The 21,568-nt window shown below is 44.1% G+C and overlaps 1 protein-coding gene across 3 annotated transcripts in view, besides 6 other annotated features; it reads right to left on the reverse strand.

Annotated features, from left to right (window-relative positions):
* The window catches only part of CREB3L2 (cAMP responsive element binding protein 3 like 2), a 127,108-nt gene that overhangs the window by 17,882 nt on the left and 87,658 nt on the right, over positions 1–21,568 (reverse strand). For 2 of the 3 annotated variants that reach the window (NM_194071.4, NM_001318246.2), the window contains exons 4-8: positions 20,131–20,218; positions 15,392–15,576; positions 12,842–12,988; positions 11,099–11,157; positions 8,494–8,562 (exon numbers count right to left, since the gene is read on the reverse strand). In NM_194071.4, coding sequence (NP_919047.2) covers positions 8,494–8,562; positions 11,099–11,157; positions 12,842–12,988; positions 15,392–15,576; positions 20,131–20,218 — 548 coding nt within the window. Of the gene's footprint in view, positions 1–8,493; positions 8,563–11,098; positions 11,158–12,841; positions 12,989–15,391; positions 15,577–19,963; positions 20,219–21,568 lie in introns of those variants that run through there. The other variant, NM_001253775.2, reaches the window with a different exon arrangement.
* Positions 2,594–2,763: an enhancer, noted in NCBI's record as "active region_26727". NCBI's record gives its function as "activates an Ori minimal core promoter by ATAC-STARR-seq in GM12878 lymphoblastoid cells {active_cell/tissue: GM12878}" and the evidence as "EXISTENCE:reporter gene assay evidence [ECO:0000049][PMID:35858748]".
* Positions 3,044–3,213: an enhancer, noted in NCBI's record as "active region_26728". NCBI's record gives its function as "activates an Ori minimal core promoter by ATAC-STARR-seq in GM12878 lymphoblastoid cells {active_cell/tissue: GM12878}" and the evidence as "EXISTENCE:reporter gene assay evidence [ECO:0000049][PMID:35858748]".
* Positions 6,511–6,580: an enhancer, noted in NCBI's record as "active region_26729". NCBI's record gives its function as "activates an Ori minimal core promoter by ATAC-STARR-seq in GM12878 lymphoblastoid cells {active_cell/tissue: GM12878}" and the evidence as "EXISTENCE:reporter gene assay evidence [ECO:0000049][PMID:35858748]".
* Positions 6,511–7,228: a biological region, named in NCBI's record as "OCT4-NANOG-H3K4me1 hESC enhancer GRCh37_chr7:137584118-137584834".
* Positions 6,512–7,228: an enhancer, noted in NCBI's record as "OCT4-NANOG-H3K4me1 hESC enhancer chr7:137584118-137584834 (GRCh37/hg19 assembly coordinates)". NCBI's record gives its function as "activates a minimal SCP1, AML or CMV promoter by ChIP-STARR-seq in primed H9 embryonic stem cells {active_cell/tissue: H9 hESC(primed)}" and the evidence as "EXISTENCE:reporter gene assay evidence [ECO:0000049][PMID:30033119]".
* Positions 11,176–11,676: an enhancer, noted in NCBI's record as "H3K27ac hESC enhancer chr7:137588782-137589282 (GRCh37/hg19 assembly coordinates)". NCBI's record gives its function as "activates a minimal SCP1, AML or CMV promoter by ChIP-STARR-seq in primed H9 embryonic stem cells {active_cell/tissue: H9 hESC(primed)}" and the evidence as "EXISTENCE:reporter gene assay evidence [ECO:0000049][PMID:30033119]".

A 21,568-nucleotide genomic window follows, 5' to 3' on the forward strand; every position in this document is an offset into this window, starting at 1 on the left:
CGGGATACAATGTTAATAATTATAAGTTCTACACATTTCATAAGGATATTTAAGGAAAATCATGAACAATCTCAAAGACATTTAAATACTAAAGTGTGTCATACACAAAAGACAACCATATCAGCTCAAACTCCTAAACCTTGAGTAAATACCTATATGTTTATGGCCTTTTACTTAAGTTTTGAAGGTTGTTCATGGGGCTCTGGCCTAAATGAAAAAAAAAAGCGTATAAATTTTCTCCTTTTTCTTCCTGTGTTAATTGCTACATTACAAGAGGCTTCTTTATTTTGTAGGAACCAGAGGGCATTTCTGAAATGCTATATTACCTACTGGCCCAGGAACAAACACTGGCCAAGGAACAAAAACTGAGGCTGTGGAATTTTGAACTTTACACTAAATTACACTAAAATGCCTTTTAAATCCCTCTGGGGAACTTAGTTTAGTACCCAATAATCCTTTGAAGTTTGAAATATTTCCATGTGGAAAGAAAGTTCACACTCTTCACACAACCAGAAGTTAGAGATAATGCAGAAATGAAAAGTGAATTAAAACCAAGGTAAAAGTGTACAGTAGAGTAACTTGGGTCATTTATCAGTCCTCAAATAGCTTCTTTGTGTGCAGCTGGGGGTGGGTTCAGCCAGTTATTGTCAGTCTAAGAGAGAAGAGATGAACCCACACACAGAAAACCATAATAGTGTGTAGGGAACAAATACACAAAATTAGTGCAAACAGACACAGCTGTGTGGGCTAAACAAACAGACCAGGAGAGCCAGAATCCAGTCAAAACCCAGTAGACTTGGCTGGAAAGACCTTTAATAGGAATCATATAGAGATTGTCAAGAACAAGAAAAGTAGAGTTAGAAAGACTATAGCTAAGAGGAAGATCAAAGAAAAAGATTAAGGAATTTTATTTCTGATAACAATAGAGATAAATGTCAGGCAAGCATGTCCCTTAATTCTGTGAGGTCTGAGGAAAGTGTACAAATGAAGTCCACATGCCACACATCTTAAGGTTTCTACAAGTCAAGCAGCCCAACACCTGCTCCTTCCGGCTCCCTCTATGGCCAGGTTTGAACAGAATTCTTGGACTTCCCAGGGCTGCTTGCCAAAATGTGGTAGTATAAGCAGAATTACTCCAGGCCTCAGCCTGCTCCACACCGTTGGAGAGAGACAGTCTCTTGGGTCTTCTTGTGTTCCTACACATTCTGCTGTGGATGCCAAGATGGAAAGGCTCTCACTGCTCTTTTATGATGGGCCACCTCTCAAGGTTGTTATGAAGCTGGTAACCTGGACAGATGAGGTAATGTCTCTCCCTGGGCAAGAAGCAGGTTTACTGATTGCTTGCTATAAAAGCAGTGGATTCTCCAAGCTCAGGCTTCCTTAGCTGTGACACAATCCCCACTGAGAGCACAGCATCCACCCGGATCTGTCCTGGCACCTGGGGGCAAGGAGAACTGATACATATATGCTGCTGCTCACTCTGTCTACTGAGCAATAGAATCCTTTGTCTTTGACCCAGGAATCTCATATCTTCTATAAATAAGGCTAAATTGAATCCAGACCTGACATATTGTGAAGGATGTCGTGCACACACCAGGCCTGGTTCAAACTCCATATGCAGCCCTCACAAAGAGCTGTCTCTGTCTACCCCATTGGCTTCAGGGGTGCCCACTGGTCACCAGGTTTGCCCTTCGGAGAACAGATTTGGGGTAGAAGTCCACATAGGCCCTGGAAATGAGCTAAGACCTTTGGACAGGGAATTCCAGGATCCTAGGTACTGGAGTAAGTTCTAGAGGGCTAGGGTGAGAGCTCCAGATGGATGCATCCCCTTGGTCCTGCCAACTACACATCCCATGGAGGGGGACATGGCTGAAGGAGAGCCAGCACAGGGCCCTCTAAAACACTGAGTCCAAATCAAGGGCCCTTGTGTCCAAGTCTAAAGTTGGCTCTTGCTGGGGCAAGGTCCTTGAAGGAGCAAGAGGTATAGCAGCAAGAGAAACCAAAGTAAGGACCAGTTCAAAAGTTAAGTGACCAAGTTCTCGTCCCCATTCTACCTCTAAATGTTAAGATGACTTTAACCCCACCAGGCCTCAGTTTCTCCTTCTGTAAAATAAGGTGATTAGCAGTTCAATACAATGATATCTAAGGTGTATCTCAAGTCTAAGCTCCTATGATTCTACAAATCCATGCTCAAGGAGAAAAGCTGTAGCTCACAGCCCTAAAGATGCCTGAGAACAAAATAAGAAATAAATGGAGCAAACTGAGCCACAAACGCCTACAACTAATGGGCCGGGCAGTGTATGTGCATCACTCATGCAGAAGAAAACTATACCAGTGGGAAAAAATGACAAGATTTCTCAGGGATGAGACCAGGGTGGGGCCATCCAGAAAGCTTGCAGCTTAGAGAGGTGCATTCACTTAGAAAAGCCAGAAGGATTCTCTAGCAGCCACACAGGCACTGCTCAGACACCAGCAAGTGAAAATGTATTTCTTGATGGAGCACAGGAAGAAGGGCCCCCTGGGAAACCATCTCACTCCCATCTTACACATTTCCTGATAGCATGCAATTAGCGGATCACCTCAGCAAAGGAAGTGTGAAGGTGCTTTCGCACCACTTCAGCTCTGTTCCCAGAGTCTCCCAGAGAAAAACTGAAGAAAGATGAAAAAGACTTCCTCATCTACTCTCCCGGCCCTGTCCTCTTCCACTCTCCATAGCTCAGATAAAAGATCTTTTCATCTAGAAATCAATAATAGGCTAGGTGGCTGCTGCTGAGTCCAGTACAAAAAAAAAAAGAAAGAAAACCATACTCAGGATTGACTCATAATCTGAGCACAAATTTTCATCTGGGTAGATGCGAAAGTCCCCTGTGGGGTATTGTATAGGGGTGGAAAAAAGTAAAGAGGTATCATTTTCTTTCATTTGGTCAATGATGAAACAGCCACTCACCTTCCCTGCCATGCCATGCATATGAAACAATGGCCCCCAAGGCCTCTCCACCCCCCATTTCTGGTGACCCAGGATCCTCTTCACTTATCAAAGTTGTTCTACTTCCATCCAGCTGCCTCTGAAGAATGATAATATGAGAAGCATCAACAGGAACACACACACAGGTGTGCATTCCCCAGCCCAGCCCTGCACACTGCCCAAACACTGGTCACCTGCATGGGGTGATGTGAGTAAAGGGTCCCAACGTCTTCCCTTGCCCAGTACCCCAATCACCAGCTCCCCATGGCTGGCTCTAGGGCAGGGCATTGCCAATGCTTACATCAGTCATTTTGGTTACTGTGGTATTCTCTGAGCGCCACAGACGCCCTCGGCAGAAAACAAAGAGAAAGGGGGAAGAGCAGTTAGAGGAACTCTAGGTCTATTCCCCATTTGAGCGAAGCAGCCCTGCTTTTATCTATTTCCCTCTCAAGCCAAAATACATTAAAAGCTACTGGTTTTGTTTGTTTGTTTTGAGATGGAGTTTTCCTCTTGTTGCCCAGGTTAGAGTGCAATGGCGTGATCTCGGCTCACCGTAACCTCCGTCTCCCAGGTTCAAGTGATTCTCCCGCCTCAGCCTCCTGAGTAGCTGGGATTACAGGCACACGCCACCACGCCCAGCTAATTTTGTATTTTTAGTAGATATGGGGTTTCTCCATGTTGATCAGGCTGGTCTCGAACTCCCAACCTCAGGTGATTCACCAGCCACGGCCTCCCAAAATACTGGGATTACAGGTGTGAGCCACCGCGCCAGGTCTTAAATATTATGATCTTAGGAGGTCCCCGCTACAATTATCTGTGGGAAGATCACAGATGAATCCATTGCCAGCCATTACTACCATAAAAGCGTTATCCACGAGGAGAGGTGAGTCTTGAAGAGGGAGAAGAAATGGGAGAAGAAGACACACAGAGCCACTGCGCTCCTGAGACTCAAGGGAAGGCACAGAGTACAGGGAAGGAGGCCAAGGGGAAGAGGAACATCGACAAACTTGTTCTGCTTTGTAAGTAAAATAAGCCAGACAAAGACAAATACTGTATGGTATCACTTACATCTAAAGAAAAATTTAAGTCAAACTCACAGAAACAAGAGAATAGAAAGGTGGTCACTGGGCACTGGAAGTGGGAGAACTGGTCAAAGAATACAAACTTTCAGTTATAAGGTAAATACATTCTGAGGATCTACTGTACAGCATGGTGACTGTAATTAAAAATGCCATATTATATACTAGAAGTGTGCTAAGCATTGGCACCAAAAAGAAAAAGAAAAAAAAGGTAATTATGTGGAGTGATGGATGTGTTAATCAGCCTGATTGTGATAATCATTTCATAATATATGCATACATCAAATCGTTACATTGTATACTGTAAAAATATGCAATTTTGTCAATTATGCCTTAATAATGCTGACAACAAAACACATAAACAAAAAACTTTCCCTGCTTTAACAGGTGGCTAAGCTAGCCCTGGTCACATTCAGTAACAGCAGACTGTCAGGGAAGGCTCAGATCCCAATAGCATGAAGTAGATTATTATTATTATTATTTGAGACAGAGTCTCGCTCTGTCGCCCAGGCTGGAGTGCAATGGCACAATCTCGGCTCACTGCAGCCTCTGCCTCCTAGGTTCAAGCGATTCTCCTGCCTCAGCCTCTCGAGTAGCTGGGATTACAGGTGTCTGCCACTACGCCCAGATAATTTGTGTATTTTTAGTAGAGATGGGGTTTCACCATGTTGGTCAGGTGATCTCTGACCAACAGGTGACCCACCTGCCTCGGCCTCCCAAAGTGCTAGGATTACAGTCATGAGCCACTGCGCCTGATCAAGGTAGATTATTTTTAATGGTGAGTCAAAGATCCTGTAGAAATGTATGAGAATATGTCCAGTGTTTTGTTATGTGGAAATAGTTCTTAACAAAGAAGTATGTACAATATAAATACATACACATAAGATATTCCAAAACATAAAGATACCTCTGAGTGAAAGGATTCTTTTTTTTTCCTAAATTATTTTTACAAGGAGCACATATTATGTATGCATCTTCCTTAAGTCGAAACGTATGATAAACAAGTAAAACTATATCAAACTAAAAAGCTTCTGCACAACAACAACAAAAATTAACAAAATGAAAAGGCAGCCCACGGATTGGGAGAAAATGTTTGCAAACCATATAAACCATCATGAGGGGTTAATATTAAAAACATATGAGGAACTCATACAACTCAATATCAAAAACAACCAATTTTAAAAAATGGGCAAAGAATCTGAATAGACATGTCTCTAAAGAAAACATAAAAATGGTCAACTGGTATATGAATAGGTGCTCACTGACACTAGTCATCAGAGAAACGTAAATCAAAACCCTACATGATATCACTTCACATCTGTTAGTACTATCATTATAAAAAAGACAAGGCGCGAAAAGTGTTGGCAATGGTGTGGAGAAAAGGGAACCCTTCCACACTGTTAGTGGGAATGTAAATTAGTAAAACCATTATGAAAAACAGTGTAGAGGTTCCTCAAAATATTAAAAATAGAACTAGCATATAACCCAGCAATCCCTCTGCTGGTATATACCCAAAGACAATGAAATCAGCATCTCATGGTTACTTGTGTACCCATGTTCATTAACGATGAAGAGTCTTGCTTTAGAAAAATATTCTGCTAATAACTGGAGGAGAAATGATAGAATTCTATAAGGCTACTTTCAAACCCCTAATGTATTGATCTCTCTAGCCAATAAGTATACATTGTGGAGAACCGAATAACCAATTTTTATGTTCCTTCTGATGGAGGCATGTAGTGGAACCTATGAAGAATTCTTACCAAAAACCAAAACCAAACAAAGTAGAGTCTGTAGTGGACGAAGGACTGTGCTAACGGACACCACAAGGACATTACAGGTAAACTAAGACCAGGAAGACTCTACAGGACAACTGACTCGGCCTTTACTAAATAACAGCAAAGACATGCAAGAGAACTTACAGACAAAAAGATATGTAATGGACATATCAAACAGTTTGAACACATGGACCTTATTTGGATATCTGATTCAAACAAGCAAACAAAAATAAAAATGTGGAAGGAGGGAGGGAGGGAGGGAGGAACAAAGGAAAGAAGGAAAGGAAGGAAGGAAGGAAGGAAGGAAGGAGGGAGAAAGGAAGGAGAAGGGGAAAGGAAGGAAGGGAAGGAAGAAAGGAAGAAAAAAGAAAGAAAGAAAAAGAAAGAGAAAGAAAGAAAAGGAAGAAAAAGGAAAGAGAAGGAAGGAAGGAAGGAAGGAAGGAAGGAAGGAAGGAAGGAAGGAAGGAAGGAAGGAAGGAAGGAAGGAAGGAACACGCAGCACAGTCCACCTGCAGAGGAGAGGAGAGACTTCCCAGGCAAGGTAGTGGGGTCGGTCCTTCTCCCTCACACACCCGGACTTCGCCCCAGCACATCCCTGCTGTGCCTCTGCTGCCCCCATGTGGCCCAGGGAAGGCCTGACACGGAGCCTGTAGAGGACGAAACCTGAACACAAACTCCAAGGAGGTCTTTGCTCTTCCCCTTTTCGCCAATTCTTGGCCAGGATTTGTCCCACCCACCCATGAACATGGGGCTGCTGCGGAAGCAAGTGCCAGGATGGGTGCCGGGAACGCCTATCGGCTCAGGATGCTAAAAACATGCATACATATGCTGGCTCGGGGAGCAGGATCCAGAGAAACAGAGCCGCCTCAGGCAATCCCCCCAGGGAGAGGAAGTGGAGATAAAAACAGAGGAAGCCCCAGCAGACTAACGGCCAAAGGCAAGCAGTGAAACCAGCTCCCTTGCCTCATGAGATCAAGGTAATGCCACACTAAGTTGGTGGCACTTCCTCCCTTTGGGCAGTCTGTCTTACAGAGCACTTGGGGTGAACTGCCCCTGACTGCTATCTGAGCACACATTCCCAGAAATGCAGAGAAAATTTCAGGGGGATCCCACTGGCGGTAGTTTTAGCTTATGTCTATATTAGCTGGCTTTTTGAGCAACAAACCATGAAGCATCAGGAAACGGGAATTAAATTCATTTGTTATTATCAAATAACATGCAAAGAGATTTAAACTGATCCCTTAATATTTGCACAATTGTTACTGGGCATTAACACTGACCCTTAATCTGATTAAATTTTTGTTTACCCAGTAAGTCCATTTTTCTCTGCTTAATTTGTTGGATCTCTAACACTCAGGGTGACAGGAGTCTCTAAGAAATAATTGTCACAGCACAGGTATGTATCATGTGTGCACATGAACACATACATTCTGGATGAAACTCCCCAAAAGCCAGTTTCTTAACCCTGCACTTTCACCCCTTTCTCTTGCATATGAGCCAGGCATAAACCTCCATATACTCCTCCCACATCCAGGCTCCAGAGCCAGACTGCCTGGGTTCAAATGCAGCTTTAGCGGTTACTGTGTGACCTTGGACAAATCACCTAGACTTTCCGAGTTTCAGTTACCTCCTCTATATAGTGAGGATGATAATAATGGCATCTCATAGGGCTAAATGAGTTCATAGCTGTAAAGTGCTTAAAATAGCACTGGGCACAGCAAGTGCTAGAGGAATTTATCAACTTGGTACCGTTACAATTTTTGTAAAATGGGTTTGAAATGCAATTAATAAACTAGCTAATTTTAAAAAACTAATTTAAAAAACAATGATTTGCAGCCGGAGCAGTGGCTCAGACCTGTAATTCCAGCATTTTGGGAGGCCAAGGTGGGGGCGGATCATGAGGTCAGGAGATTGAGACCATCCTGGCCAACATGGTGAAACCCCATCTCTACTAAAAAAAAAAAAAATACAAAAATTAGCCGGACGTGGTGGCGCGTGCCTGTAGTCCCAGCTGCTCAGGAGGCTGAGGCAGGAGAATCACTTGAACCCGGGAGGCAGAGCTTGCAGTGAGCCGATATCATGCCACTGCATTCCAGCCTGGGCGACAGAGCAAGACTCCGTCTCAAAAAAAAGAAAAAAAAAATACCAATGATTTTCTCTTTTTTTAAACTAATAAGTATCATTTGCTACTAAAATTAGATTATAATGAAGTGGCCAGTGCCTCCTTGGTCACCTCTAAATTTTGATGTCATTTTCAGGAGAATCAGGCTTGTTGATCTTATTCTCCTCCAAGCCTCTTTTTTAACCCCCTAGTCATAGTCCTTGTCATGATCAGCTTCTTCTTCAATCCTGTATCATTTAGGAAAAGTAAAGAATATGCATGTATGTGTACATGTATGTGCATATGAGAGTGTGTACATATGTGTATTGTGGATGTGAACATGAGAGCATGTGTGCATATGTGTTTGTATATGTGCAAGAGTAGCACGTGTGCATGCGTGTGTGTGTAGCAGGAGTGGGTGGGTGGAGTTTGGCCATGCTGAGCATCTCAGCACAACTGCACTTTCACTGTGACCTCCTCCACTTTTCTGCCATCCCTGGTTCTGGATTCTATCCTCTTCCTTCCCCATCTTCCATTGGTAGCGCAATCAGCTCTCAGTCCAGTGACACTTACCTATTAGTGTTCTCTAGAACCTCTACCTTCTTCCGAAGCTCCAAGTTCTCAGTTGAACAAGACTCCACTCTACAAAGGAGGGAGAAAGAAGAAAATTATTATCCATAGAGCAAACACTAAGCTAGGAGCTAGGGTGGAGGTAGGTGGGGATGAGGAAAAGGAGGGTTGGGGGGATCTGCCACCCCATGGAAGTGTGGGAAAGTATTGAAAGAAGGATGAAGAGACTTAAGAAAAAAAAAAAAATAGGCCGGGCACGGTGGCTCACGCCTGTAATCCCAGCACTTTGGGAGGCCGAAGCAGGCGGATCACAAGGTCAGGAGATAGAGACCATCCTGGCCGACATGGTGAAACCCTGTCTCTACTAAAAATACAAAAATTAGCTGGGCGTGGTGGCACGTGCCTGTAATCCCAGCTACTCGGGAGGCTGAGGCAGGAGAATCGCTTGAACCCAGGAGTCAGATGTTGCAGTGAGCCAAGATCGCCACTGCACCCCAGCCTTGTGACAGAGCAAGATCTGTCTCAAAAAAAAAAAAAAAAAAGAAAAATAGAAGGAGCTGGGGCCGGGCGTAGTGGCTCATGTCTATAATCCCAGTAATTTGGGAGGCTGAGGCAGGCAGATCACTTGAGGTCAGGAGCTCAAGAATAGCCTGGCCAACATGGTGAAACCCCATCTCTACTAAAAATGCAAAAATTAGCTGAGCATGGTGGTGTGTGCCTGTAATCCGAGCTACTTGGGAGGCTGAGACAGAAGAGTCACTTGAACCTGGGAGGCAGAGGTTGCAGTGAGCCAAGATCATGCCACAGCACTCCAGCCTGGGCCACAGAGCGAGACTCTGTCTCCAAAAAAAAAAAAAAAAAAGAGGGAGCTGAGTGATGAGTGCCTGAATAATGAAAGATGAATAGTGACAGTACAAAATATGACCCTCTTTTAGGGTGTTACAACCTCTTTCCTCTCACCTCCTCCCTAGTGTTCTCAATGCCCATCATACTTCTCCCTCTATACTACAGTAATCTGGATACTCCCAGCTACACTCTTACCAGGACTGATAAGAAGTGAAGAGACTTAAGCAAAGGGCAGGACGAGAGCCCAGGACTAGGAATCCTGGTGCTGGGGCACGCATGCCCAAAAGAGACAGTAAAGAGACTTTCATAGGAACATCTTGACCCTGGATGCCCATAGAAAATGGTGGGACAGCATGGGACTACAGTCTTCCCACGGTATTCAGGGGGGATTAGTTCCAGAACTCCCCACAGATACCAAAATCTCCAGATGCTCGAGTCCCTGATTAAAAAATGGTGTAGTATTTGTATATAACCTTTACATATCCTCCAGTATATGTTAATCATCTCTAGGTTATTTATAATACCAAACACAATGTAAATACTATGTAAATATGTGTTATCTTGTATTTATAGTTGTATTATTTTTTATTGTTGTAGTTTTTTTTTATTGAGTTGTTTGGTTTTGGCTTTGGTTTTTTGAGACAGAGTCTCACTCTATCATCAAGGCTATAGTGCAGTGGCACAATCACAGCTCACTGCAGCCTCAACTTCCTGGGCTCAAGTGATTCTCCCCTCTCAGCCTCCTGAGTAGCTGGGACCACAGATGTGCACCACCATGCCTGGCTAATTTTTTTTTATTTTTTAGGGGGTCTGGCTATGTTGCCCAGGCTGGTCTTGAACTCCTGAGCTCAAGCAATCCTCTCACCTTGGCCTCCCAAAGCACGGGGATTATAAGAGTGAGCCATCACACCCAGCCTATTGAAGTTTTTTTCTGAATATTTTAGACCCATGGTTGGTTGAATCTGAGGACGCTGAACCCCCAGATATGGAGAGCCAACTATACTTAATGCTGCATTACCAGTACTTAAGTCAGGTGATAGAAGCACTAAACTTTCAATAGTAGCTTTGAGAAACAGCCAGGAACCACCAGCCACTCCTTTCCCCAGATCCACATGAAGTTCATTTCTGGGTCTGGGGCCTCATGCCCATCTTAAAAATATCTTGGTTTGTTAGCTAAAGAACTAACTTCCAGGGCTAAGACAAAACTGTATTTAATTCATCTTTTTCTAACAGCCCGCCTGATATTACAGACTTTTCAAAAGAACAAAGATTGCCTTCAAGTGTTTTTGCAAAAAAAAAAAAACATGAATTGTAGTGGCTGGAAAATAAAGGCTGCCAACCTGACATCTTTCTTTCCCTATGTGCCCTCTCTAGAGCATGAAGGAGTGTGGCCAATGGGGGCTGATTAAGTAGCACTGCTCCTTTCAGCTAAAACAGGGCTTCTCCTGCTAGAAGTTCCAGGAATGTGCAGGAATGTTAATATTTGTATGTGTTTGAAAAGAAGTCTGTGAGGACTCCGGGGTCCTTGGCTGGCAGTGGTATGATTCAAACACCTACTAAGGTACTTTCACTTCTTTCTTGCTTTATTATAGACGTCTCCTCCAAATAACCACTAGGTGGCAGGCAAACCACAGCTGATAAACCACCGGGTTTCCAAGGTGGCCAGAAAGAGGAATTGAACTGCTTCTCCCCGATTCTCCGCACACCCATATTTCCCTGTGCATACTGCCCGATGAACGCAACAGTTTGCCAGCAGGCTTACTTTTTCTCCAGGCTGTCCATGTATTCTTTCTTCTTTCTCCTACTTTCCTGAGCAGAAATCTGAGAGAGAGGAGTGGGAGGAGAATGATTAATTTCCAGCTCTGTAAGTAAACCAGTTAAGATGGGAGGTGGTTAGCGTAGAAGTCACCAAAGCCCTGCTTACTTCTGCAAGCTGCTTGCCATTTGTTTAAGCTGCTGGTTCATTGACTAGTCTGTCCTCCCGGGTTTCTAGCTGCCAAACTCACACCTACTTTCCTACAAACCAGGCCACCAGTAAAATGGACACTGAGTGGCCAGGAGCAGTGGCTTACACCTGTAATCCCAACACTTTGGGAGGCTGAGGTGGGCGGATCACTTGAGGTCAGGAGTTCGAGACCAGCCTGGCCAACATGGTGAAACCCTGTCTCCATTAAAAATACAAAAAAATGGCAGGCGCAGTGGCTCTAGCCTGTAATCCCAGCACTTTGGGAGGCCAAGGCGGGTAGATCACCTGAGGTCAGGAGTTCAAGACCAGCCTGGGCAACATGGTAAAACCCCGTCTACTAAAAATACAAAAATTAGCTGGGCGCGGTGGTGCATGCTTGTAATCCCAGCTAATTGGGAGGCTGAGGCAAGAGAATCGCTTGAGTCCGGGAGGCAGAGGTTGCAGTGAGCTGACATTGTGCCACTGCACTCCAGCCTAGGTGACAGAGAGAGACTCCATCTCAAAACAAAAAACAAAAAACAAAAAAATTAGCCGGGCATGGTGGCACACGTCTGTGGTTCCAGATGCTTGGGAGGCTGAGGTAGGAGAATCACTTGAACCTGGGAGGCAGAGGTTGCAGTGAGCCGAGATCATGCCACTACACTCCAGCCTGGGTGACAGAGTGAGACTCTGTATGAAAAAAAAAAAAAAGAAAGAAAGAAAAGAAAAGAAAACAATGGACACTGAGTGAAGAGCCAGGCCAGAACATGTGGCTCACAAACCATCAGTGTGGTCTCAGATAAATGAGTTTAACTCCTGGACCTCTGCTGGCTGAAGTACATATATAAAATAAGACAGCTGGCTTGGTCATACATCAACTTGCTGCTGGTTCCGCACATGGATAGAGTGACACTAAGCTCTTGTCTTCCTTCCCTCTTTGCCCCCTCCCTCCTGGTAGGCCTGTGCCTCAGCCATCCCCCTGGTTTTCATCAGGCCTGCTCAGCACTGAGGGGCCCAGGGGTAGGAGACTACTGAGTCCAAATATAGACCAGCAAACTGCAGAAGTTTTGTGATCACAAAACCCTACCAAGAAAAAAAAAAATTAACCAAGCACTTGCAATGTATTTGTATCTTATATATATATAATATATATATATGCTGTATTTTATATAGATACATAGAGTACATATATATGTCTACTAGAGGAAACTATTGTATATATCATACACCCAAAATTTAAAAGGCTGAGTTAAAAAAAAAAAAAAAAAACTAGATGGAAATTCTAATAGCTTCCTCCCACCCGTAAATGTATCATCGTGGGCACCAAAGAGGTAGATACTGATCTGGGAGTCTGCTGGCCTCAAGAGGGATGGGATGGGCTGGAGGAAGAGAGGGGCACGTGGTGAGGGTGCTCCTCCCAGGGCTTAGGGAAGGGAAGGGCTGGGCCTTGGTCTCCACCATGGGATGGGGTAGTGCTGGCCGTTGGGAAGGCAGGGAAAGGGATGCTGACTCGATTCTGCTCGTCTCTGCTCTAGAAGTGCCTAGATTTGAAGAGCTCACCTTATTCTTGATCTTCCTCCGAATTTTCTTCAGGGCCTTCTCCTCTGATTTTGACAGGGGCAATTTGGTGGGGATGGGATAGCCCTCAGCGATCAGGGTCCTCTTCTCCTCCTCTGTCAGGACCAGAGGGCCTGATCCCTGCAGTTTCTGTGCAGACCAAGGAGCAGAAAAGGGTCAAAGAAAAAGAACTGGGACCACTGAAGAATCACCTCCCAATGGGATGATGAGAATCTGTTACAATGTCTTACAGAAGGCTCTGAGACAAGGATGCCCCATCTGCTTTGGGTGACAGATGGGTATTTTGAAGGGCATGGGAAGATGGGGAAGACACCCCCATGTGAGTGTTATAACCTAGGGATTATAATTCAAGGGAAAGAATAAAGAAGCCTCCACCCATTATTTCCCGGGAAGCACCCTACTCGCTAAAACATGAAAAGAAAAAGCAGAGAAGTCATTTCCCACATCCCTAGAGATTTCCTGGCCTTGGAGTGATGAAGGATTCATTTGCAGCCCTGCTTTGTGCAAGAATTTTGTTGTTCTCCTTCTGAAAATGCAGTTTTATAAGGTGCTCTCTACACAACAGGAGTCAATTCTCTCCTCCACTTTTAGCTAAGAGTGCAGAGCACCCAGGGACACATCTGCAGACTCTTTCCACAGAAGCCTCTGGCTTCAGCAGTCTCAGAATGTCCATCAACAATGAAGACAAGAACAGTAGCACATCTCATGGAACCCACAGTAGAATGGCATGTTTATAATTAATCAAACAGAGTCCCTATTGCATTTTAGCTCCATACTAAATGCCATGGAGGACTCAAAACAAACCCTACCTCTCAAGCAGCTTGTGATCAAGACTGTGAGACTGAACTGATACCCATGAAAGGATAAGAGTAATTAAATGCTAAACTGTAATCTTAGCTGATATGGTTTGGCTCTGTGTCCCCACCCAAATCTCATTTTATAGCTCCCATAATTCCCACGTGTTGTGGGAGGGACCCAGTGGGAGATGACTGAATTATGGGGTGAGTCTTTCCCATGCTGCTTTTGTGAGAGTGAATGAATCTCACAAGATCTGATGGTTTTAAAAAACAGGAGTTGCACTGCACAAGCTCTCTCTTTGCCTGCTGCCATCCATGTAAGACATGACTTGCTCCTCCTCGCCTTCCACCATGATTGTGAGGTTTCCCTAGCCACGTGGAACTGTAAGTCCAATTAAACCTCTTTCTCTTGTAAATTGCCCAATCTCGGGTATGTCTTTATCAGCAGCATGAAAATGGACTAATACATTAGCTAAAGGTGTACTAAAAATTTGAAGTAAGAGAACACTACTATGAGTTGTGTGATCAGGAAACGTTTAGGGCAGGAGATGAGATTTGAATTGGGCCTCCTGAAAGAAAGGGGATGATTTACATAAGAGAGAGGAGTGCATTCTAAGCAAAAGGCAGTATTTTGAAAAGTCACTGAAGAAGCCACTGCCTAGTGTGGGTAAGGAGTTCTTGAAGCAGCGGAGGGTTGGATACCTGATAATGAGTAAAGGTGTCAGGGCTTGGTACCAACAAGTAACAGGGAAATACAACATAGTTGTTGGGCAAGCATCCGACATGGGGAAGAGTTCCTCCATAAACATGTAGAATGGACAGATCATAGTAGTACACACAGGTATATAGGATACAAGCTATTCTAGTAATCCAAGGAGTGAAGTCAGGTTCAAGGTGAAAAGGTGAAGAAAGAGTGGAAGGGTGAATTCCCTTGTCCTCAGTAACGATGAAATTTAAGAATGTGGTTGCAGATCTAGAACTTTCAGGGACAGAATCAATACAAATTTTCAAAGTTATGTTAATTAATGGACGGATGGTACTTACAGAATTTTAAAACATCTCATTTCATTTAAATTTTCTAGTTGTGAGATTGTGAATTCAAAATAGCTGATTATAATTTTTAAAATTTCATAGAAATCAATTCACTCCTAGAACAATAAGGAGTTAACGATCTATTCTTCTTTATTATGGTGTCCTCATGTATGGGAGGGATGAACGAGGGGTCTTGATGTCTGATCTGAGTTTCTGGGTTAAGAGTCATATGACACACAGAAAAGGCTTAAACTGTTTTTGACCTTTAGGCATCAAAGAAATTAATCTCAGAGTAATTTTTAAGTTCACCAAAAATTGCTTCTTTAAAATATAAAAGGTATTTCCTATGACATAGGTCACAAGGACCATTAAATTAATGCAAATATTTATGATAGAACTTTGAGGAGAAAAACCCCAAATTTTTATTCCTCATGTCTATAGCTCTGTAAAATAAACATATGAATAAAAACTGGAAGTGTGCATGTGAAAAGGAAGAGAATTGTGGTAGTAAAAGGTGAGATGTGCGGGCAGTTCCTAGAAAGTGTTCTTTAGGGTTGACATCACTCTGCTTTCGCCATTAAGCAGAAACTTCTTGACAAAAGTAAAAACCAAACAGCCTTGAGTGGTCCTGCTCTGGATACAGCCCCAGGGGAATGAATGGAGAGGGTTCCCTTTGGTCCAGGAATGCCCGCTGCATACTTACATGAGGAGCCGTGAGGAGAGGGGAGCTGGAGAGGGCGGAGGGGGCCCGGGGTGCAGCTCTGGAGGGGCTGTGGGTCTGAGGCAGGCTGAAGGGGTGCAGGCGTGGGTTGGGACTCAGGCTGCCCTCTGAGTCACTGCCGTGACTGCTCGGAGGGGTGGGCGGCAAATGCAGGTGGTCCACTGGGGCTGCAAAAAAGGAAGCACATCTCATCCATCCCAGAGCCACAAAGCAGGACACAACTGATTTGTGGCATAGCAAACTAAAGTGTGAGGGGCCTCCATGAGCTGACCTGGACAGATCTCCAAGGTGCAGAGCGTGGATATGGGAGTCCTCCTTTTGTATGAAAAAGGAGAGAAAGAGGATATAGACCCACATTTGCTTATACTGGCAGAAAGAAACACTGGAAGTGAATACAAGAAACCAATAAACGTGCGACCAGGGGCCAGGCAAGGTGGCTCATGGCTGTAATCCCAGCACTTTGGGAGGCTGAGGTGGGCAGATCACCTGAGGTCAGGAGTTTGTGACCAGCCTGACCAACATGGCGAAACCCCATCTCTACTAAAAATACAAAATTAGCCTGGCGTGGTGGCACGTGCCTATAATCCCAGCTGCTACTCAGGAGGCTGAGGCAGGAGAATCGCTTGAACCCAGGAGGCAGAGATTGCAGTGAGCCGAGATCATGCTAAAATACAAAAAAAATTAGCCAGGTGTGGTGGCACACACCTATAGTCCCAGCTACTTGGGAGGCTGAGGCAGGAGAATTGCTTGAACCCAGGAGTTAGGGGTTGCAGTGAGCCAAGATCACACCACTGCCCTCCAGCCTGGGTGACAGAGCGAGAATCCATCTCAAAAAGCCGGAGTGGCTGCTTTGAAAAAAGCCGGTTTGTTTCTGGAGCAATGTGCGTGGTCATGCCCGCAGGCAAGACGCCAGGCATTCTTCATTCAGAAAACATGAAATCCATCTTCAGATACGGGAGTGAGCACAGGAAAAATAAGTGAGAGTGCAGTGGGGGGACTTTCTCCTCTAAAGTCTCCCGCGTCTTTCCTCAAGGAGGCACAACACCCTCTCTGCCAGGGCCTATGGAGCCTTGGTCAGCGTCCATCAGGCATCTCCAGGGCAGCAGAGATGGGCTTCTGAAGGAGGAATCCAACCAGGCTTCCACGTGAATGAAAGCACTCTTGGGTCTCACTGTTCTTTCTGAACAGTGCACATTTCTGTTGTACCAGCCACTGCTACTGAGCCAAGGGAGATAACTGCAGGTAAACGCTTCACTCCTGGAGCCCCCAGGACAATGGATTCCCCTGTACAGCAGCCCCGTGGTGGGCATGGCCCACACAGCTGGTTCTGCTCGGCCAGAGAACTAACTGCTGAAGGCCACGGGAAGCCTCAGCACATCACCTCCTTGTCCCTTCTTCCAATGGAGACCACCCAGCATACTATGGATGGGAAGGGCTCTCCTGAGACACAACAACTGACCCAAAAAAGATGACCTTACCCATAGCTGCCTGATATGGTTTGGCTGTGTCCCCACCCAAATCTCATCTTGAATTGTAGCTCCCATAATTCCCACATGTGGTGGGAGGGACCCAGCGGGAGATCATTGAATCATGGGGGCAGTTTCCCCCATACTGTTTTTGTGGTAGTAAATAAGCCTCATGAGATCTGATGAAACCCCTTTTGCTTGGTTCTCATTTTCTCTATTGCCTGACGCCTTGTAAAATGTGCCTTTCGCTTTCCACCATGATTGTGAGTCCTCCTTATCCACGTGGAACTGTGAGGCCATTAAACCTCTTTTTCTGCATAAATTGCCCAGTCTTGGGTACTTTATCAGCAGCATGAAAACAGACTAATACACTGCCCTCAGAGAGGATGAGCAGCAATCAGCATCTCTCTCCTGCAGGAATACCTGAATAGCCGAGGCCACAACAGGCAATGCCCCGTCAGCCAACCCTGGTCCCCCCGGCCCTGGCATGCTTTTTTTCTTCTCTCTCTCATTGCGATTCCCTGTCTCTCTCCCACCCTTTCTTTCTCTTTCTGCCACATACAGCTTTTCTCTAGATGTTTCCTCTTTCCCTTTTTCTCTGCCAGTCTTGCCAAAGAGGTCCCTGGGCTTTTTAGTCTCTGTGGGCACTCTTAAAGCTAAAGAATATGCTAAAATAATCCTAATCGCGCTATTCCCACTACTGCCACAGGTGCAGGCAGCCCAGGAAGGGAAAATATGCAGGTGCTTGGCTAAGAGTGAGGAGTCCTAAGCGTGTTAATCAAGGTTTCTCGAATGCCATGAATATTATGGCACTTCATGGTTTAAAAACAAAAAAACAAACAAACAAAAAAACGGGAAGCAGACGAACCTAATAGGGGCTTTGTGCTGTTACATTCCCAAGAACTAGCCAGGAGTACCTAGAGCCACCCTGTCCCTTTCACTTGGTAGGGGCCAAATTATTCTAATACCGTTCTCCCGTCCAAGCAGAGGGCACCCCACAAAAGACAGAAAGAGAATTTGAAGCAAGTGAAGCAAGTAAAATCTTGTCTTTCCTATCTATTAAGAGCTACAGAGCTGGCCAGAGGCACCTCAGGATCAGATTTCTAAATATCATTTGAAATGCTGCTTTTGGGTTACTGCAAGGTCTGGGGACAACAAGCTACTGTGCCTAGAAACTGATGCAGTCAAGGATATTGAATTTCCTTATCTCAGTTTATCCAGGATAATGAGGAAGGGCTGTCCTTAACTTCATTCTTGAAACATTTCTCCTCCAATAACCCTGGATTCAGAAGCCACTATGGGATTCATTGTTATGGTGATGACACTTCTGAACCACATCACAGCATAAATTAAAAGAGTAAGATGCATTTGATAGTAATAACTGGTGTTATACAAACGAAAGCAATTACTTTGAAGCAGTACATAAAGCTGAAAGGCACTACTGTCTGTCACTCAGTGCAAAGACATAGTGTCTCAATATGGATTCTAAGTATTAACTTTTACTAAGTAAATAAGTATTATTTACTAAGTATTATTTCACTAAGTATTATTAACTTTTAAAATTTAATCCTTTCTTTATTGATAATAAAGGCAAATAAAGGGCCAGCCCTGATTACATTGTTACAAACCAAATCCTGAGTTAGTTTCTAATGGAATGAAGACAGACGATATTTTCATGAGAAGTGCTCATATGTAAACATCCTCACATTTATATACCGTAGCAAATATACCTTTTCGGTGACAACTGTATAAGCCAATTTCTTATTTGTTGACCACAGTAGTGAACTGTACTTTGAAATTTGTACTGAAAGTATGAATGGGACCGGGTGAGGTGGCACATGCCTTTAATCCTAACACTTTGGGAGGCCAAGATGGGAGGATCACTTGAGCTCAGGAGTTTCAGACCAGCCTGGGCAACATGGTGAAACCCTATCTCTACAAAAAATACAAAATTTAGCTGGGCGTGGTGGTGCATGTCTGCAGTCCCCGCTACTTGGGAGGCTGAGGTGGGAGAATCGCTTGAACCCATGAGGTTGAGGTTGCCATGAGCCATGATGGCACTACTACACTCCAGCCTGAGCAACAGAGTAAGACCCTGTTTCACACACAAAAAATAAATAAATAAAAAGTATGAATGAAAAGGGAAGTGATGGCATGAGTGAAGGCACAGAAGTGAGAAGAGCAGGATGTATGCCGGAGAATCTGCATACGCAAGGCAGAGAGAGCTTCATTAGACCTCATGAGGCTCAGGGGTCTGCATCCAGGATTCCTAACTATGGGCTTCATAGGAGAACAAAGAGGGAGAAACTCAGAAAGAAACTGACATAGAGAAAGATAAATATAGAAATATAACAACCTTGGCCAGGCGTGGTGGCTTATGCCTGTAATCCCAGGACTTCAGGAGGCCGAAGCAGGCGGATTGCCTAAGGCTGAGAGTTCAAGACCAGCCTGACCAATGTGGCAAAACCTCGTCTCTACTAAAAATACCAAAATTAGCTGGGTGTGGTGGTGCACGCCTGTAATTGCAGCTTCTCAGGAGGCTGAGGCACAAGAATCGCTTGAACCTGGGAGGCAGAGGTTGCAGTGAGCCGAGATGGTGCCATTGCACTCCAGCCTGGTAACAGAGTGAGACTCTGTCTCAAAAAAAAAAAAAAAAAAGTATGATCACCTCAAGGATGTGTTAATTCTAAATGGATGGATGTCAAGAAGCCCAAAAAGATGCACAATTGTGAACCATGAACATGACCAAATAGAGAGGGGGCTCCTTGCAATAGTTGTCATTCAAAGTCAATGTTTACAAACAATGAATTGGCCACATAATTAATTGTGAATTTACTTCACAAAGAGTTGAAACTAGAGTTGTTTGAAATAAGCAAGGTGCTTTTGTAGATGGTTGTTGATTTGTGGGGCTACGTAGGGTTCACGCCTGGATGAATAAGGGCTGCAGTTCTCTTGTTCGATAGTGTTTGTAGTAGCAGTCCATAAAAGTTTTGAAAAATATCACCCTGGTTAGAAGTAAAAGTATGGTAACACTTAGCTGAAATTTAATCACGTGCATATATGGGAAAATAATAGTTAGCTTGCAAAATTTTTATTTGGAAGCAAAATTTTTATTTTTTAAGAACAGAGCTATTTCATAAAGCCAGCTACAACATCTGTGGTACAAACTCATCCCAGCTCTCTCGCCATATTCCCTCTCTGTAGACCCAGAGACCATATCCATAACCCAAAGGGACACAGGGAGGGCAGACAGACCTTCTTTAGGAGAGAAGTTTAGAAACTGATCCACTTCATGAGGCTCCAGCTTAATTTTAGGAATAATGGTCTGGCACGAGGAATCAACCTGGAGGAAGAATTTCAAACACAATTTTTAAAAACCAATCACAGCCTTGAAGACACATGCAGGAGAGCTATTTGTCACCTGTGTCTTCCTCTCGGGACAGCCCTGCCTATCCTGGAGAATAGCTGAGTGTAGGCAACTTCCCTGACAGGGAGTCATTTTAGTTCTTAACCTTTTTCTCATTGCCAAACTTGGCATTACAGCTGACAGGACCTTCAGAACTTCCTTGAGACCACCCTGGGTAACATAGTGAGACAACGTCTCCCCAAAAAAATACAAAAATTAGCCAGTTGTGATGGCGTGCACCTGCAGTCCCAGCTACTTGGGAGGCTGAGGCAGGAGAATCACTTGAACCCAGGAATTTGAGGCTGCAGCGAGCTGTGATCATACCATTGCACTCCAGCCTAGGTAACAGAGTGAGACCCTATCTCAAAAAAAAAAAAAAAGAAAAAAGAAAAAAAAAGAAAAAGAAAAACACTCAGAACTCTAAAGTTGAAAGCCAAATGCTCAAGCCCAAAACTATATCAATATTCTTTTCTATGTTTTTATAGTACTATAAAGGCATTTTATTACAAAATATTCTGGTACTTTTTTTTTTGTGGCATCATTCTGCTAACTTTATTCTTTATACATAGTTTGGGTAAAGTAAGAACCAAACACTGCTTCCACTCCCCCTATCCTCACTCCACTTTGGGGGCTTTAAAAAGCAACTTATAGTTGATACTGGTGAGGATTCCCAAGACTACAGAATTTAGTTGTAGAGCGTAACTGTGCATTTGATCACTGAAAGAAAATAAGAGACCTTCTAAGAGGTGGTGACCTTAGCAGAATAAGGAGGGGCCAGGGGGTCTCTTATCCCAGTTCAGCCTCACACCAGCCTGGGAGTTTTCCCTGCCTGCAACGTAAAGCAGCCTGTAAATTACATATAGCCACAATGCACTTAAATCGAGTCAATCACCATGGAAAATGGGAACTAAATTTTAAAGAGTCAAAGGCCTCCACCAGCTTGCCCTGGGGTAGGGACTGTGCACCAAGCCACATCCTTTCTCTTATATATAACTTTATTAATATTAATAATTAATAATGTTATAATACAATTAATATAATTATTAATAATTAATATTAATGATGTTATTATTAAGGCTTCCTAATGACTGATGGTATCTAATCACGAAAATCCTGGTAGGGAAAGGAGAAAAGTTATCTGGCCCATACACAGGAGCAAGGCCATGCCTCTGAGCTTTGCTAGTTACATACTTTACAATAATTCAACTAGGCCGGGCATGTGGCTCACGCCTGTAATCCCAACACTTTGGGACGCTGAGGTGGGCGGGTCACTTGAGGTCAGGAGTT

Source organism: Homo sapiens, chromosome 7 (assembly GCF_000001405.40).
Source record: "Homo sapiens chromosome 7, GRCh38.p14 Primary Assembly".
NCBI classification, from domain to species: Eukaryota; Metazoa; Chordata; class Mammalia; order Primates; family Hominidae; genus Homo; species Homo sapiens.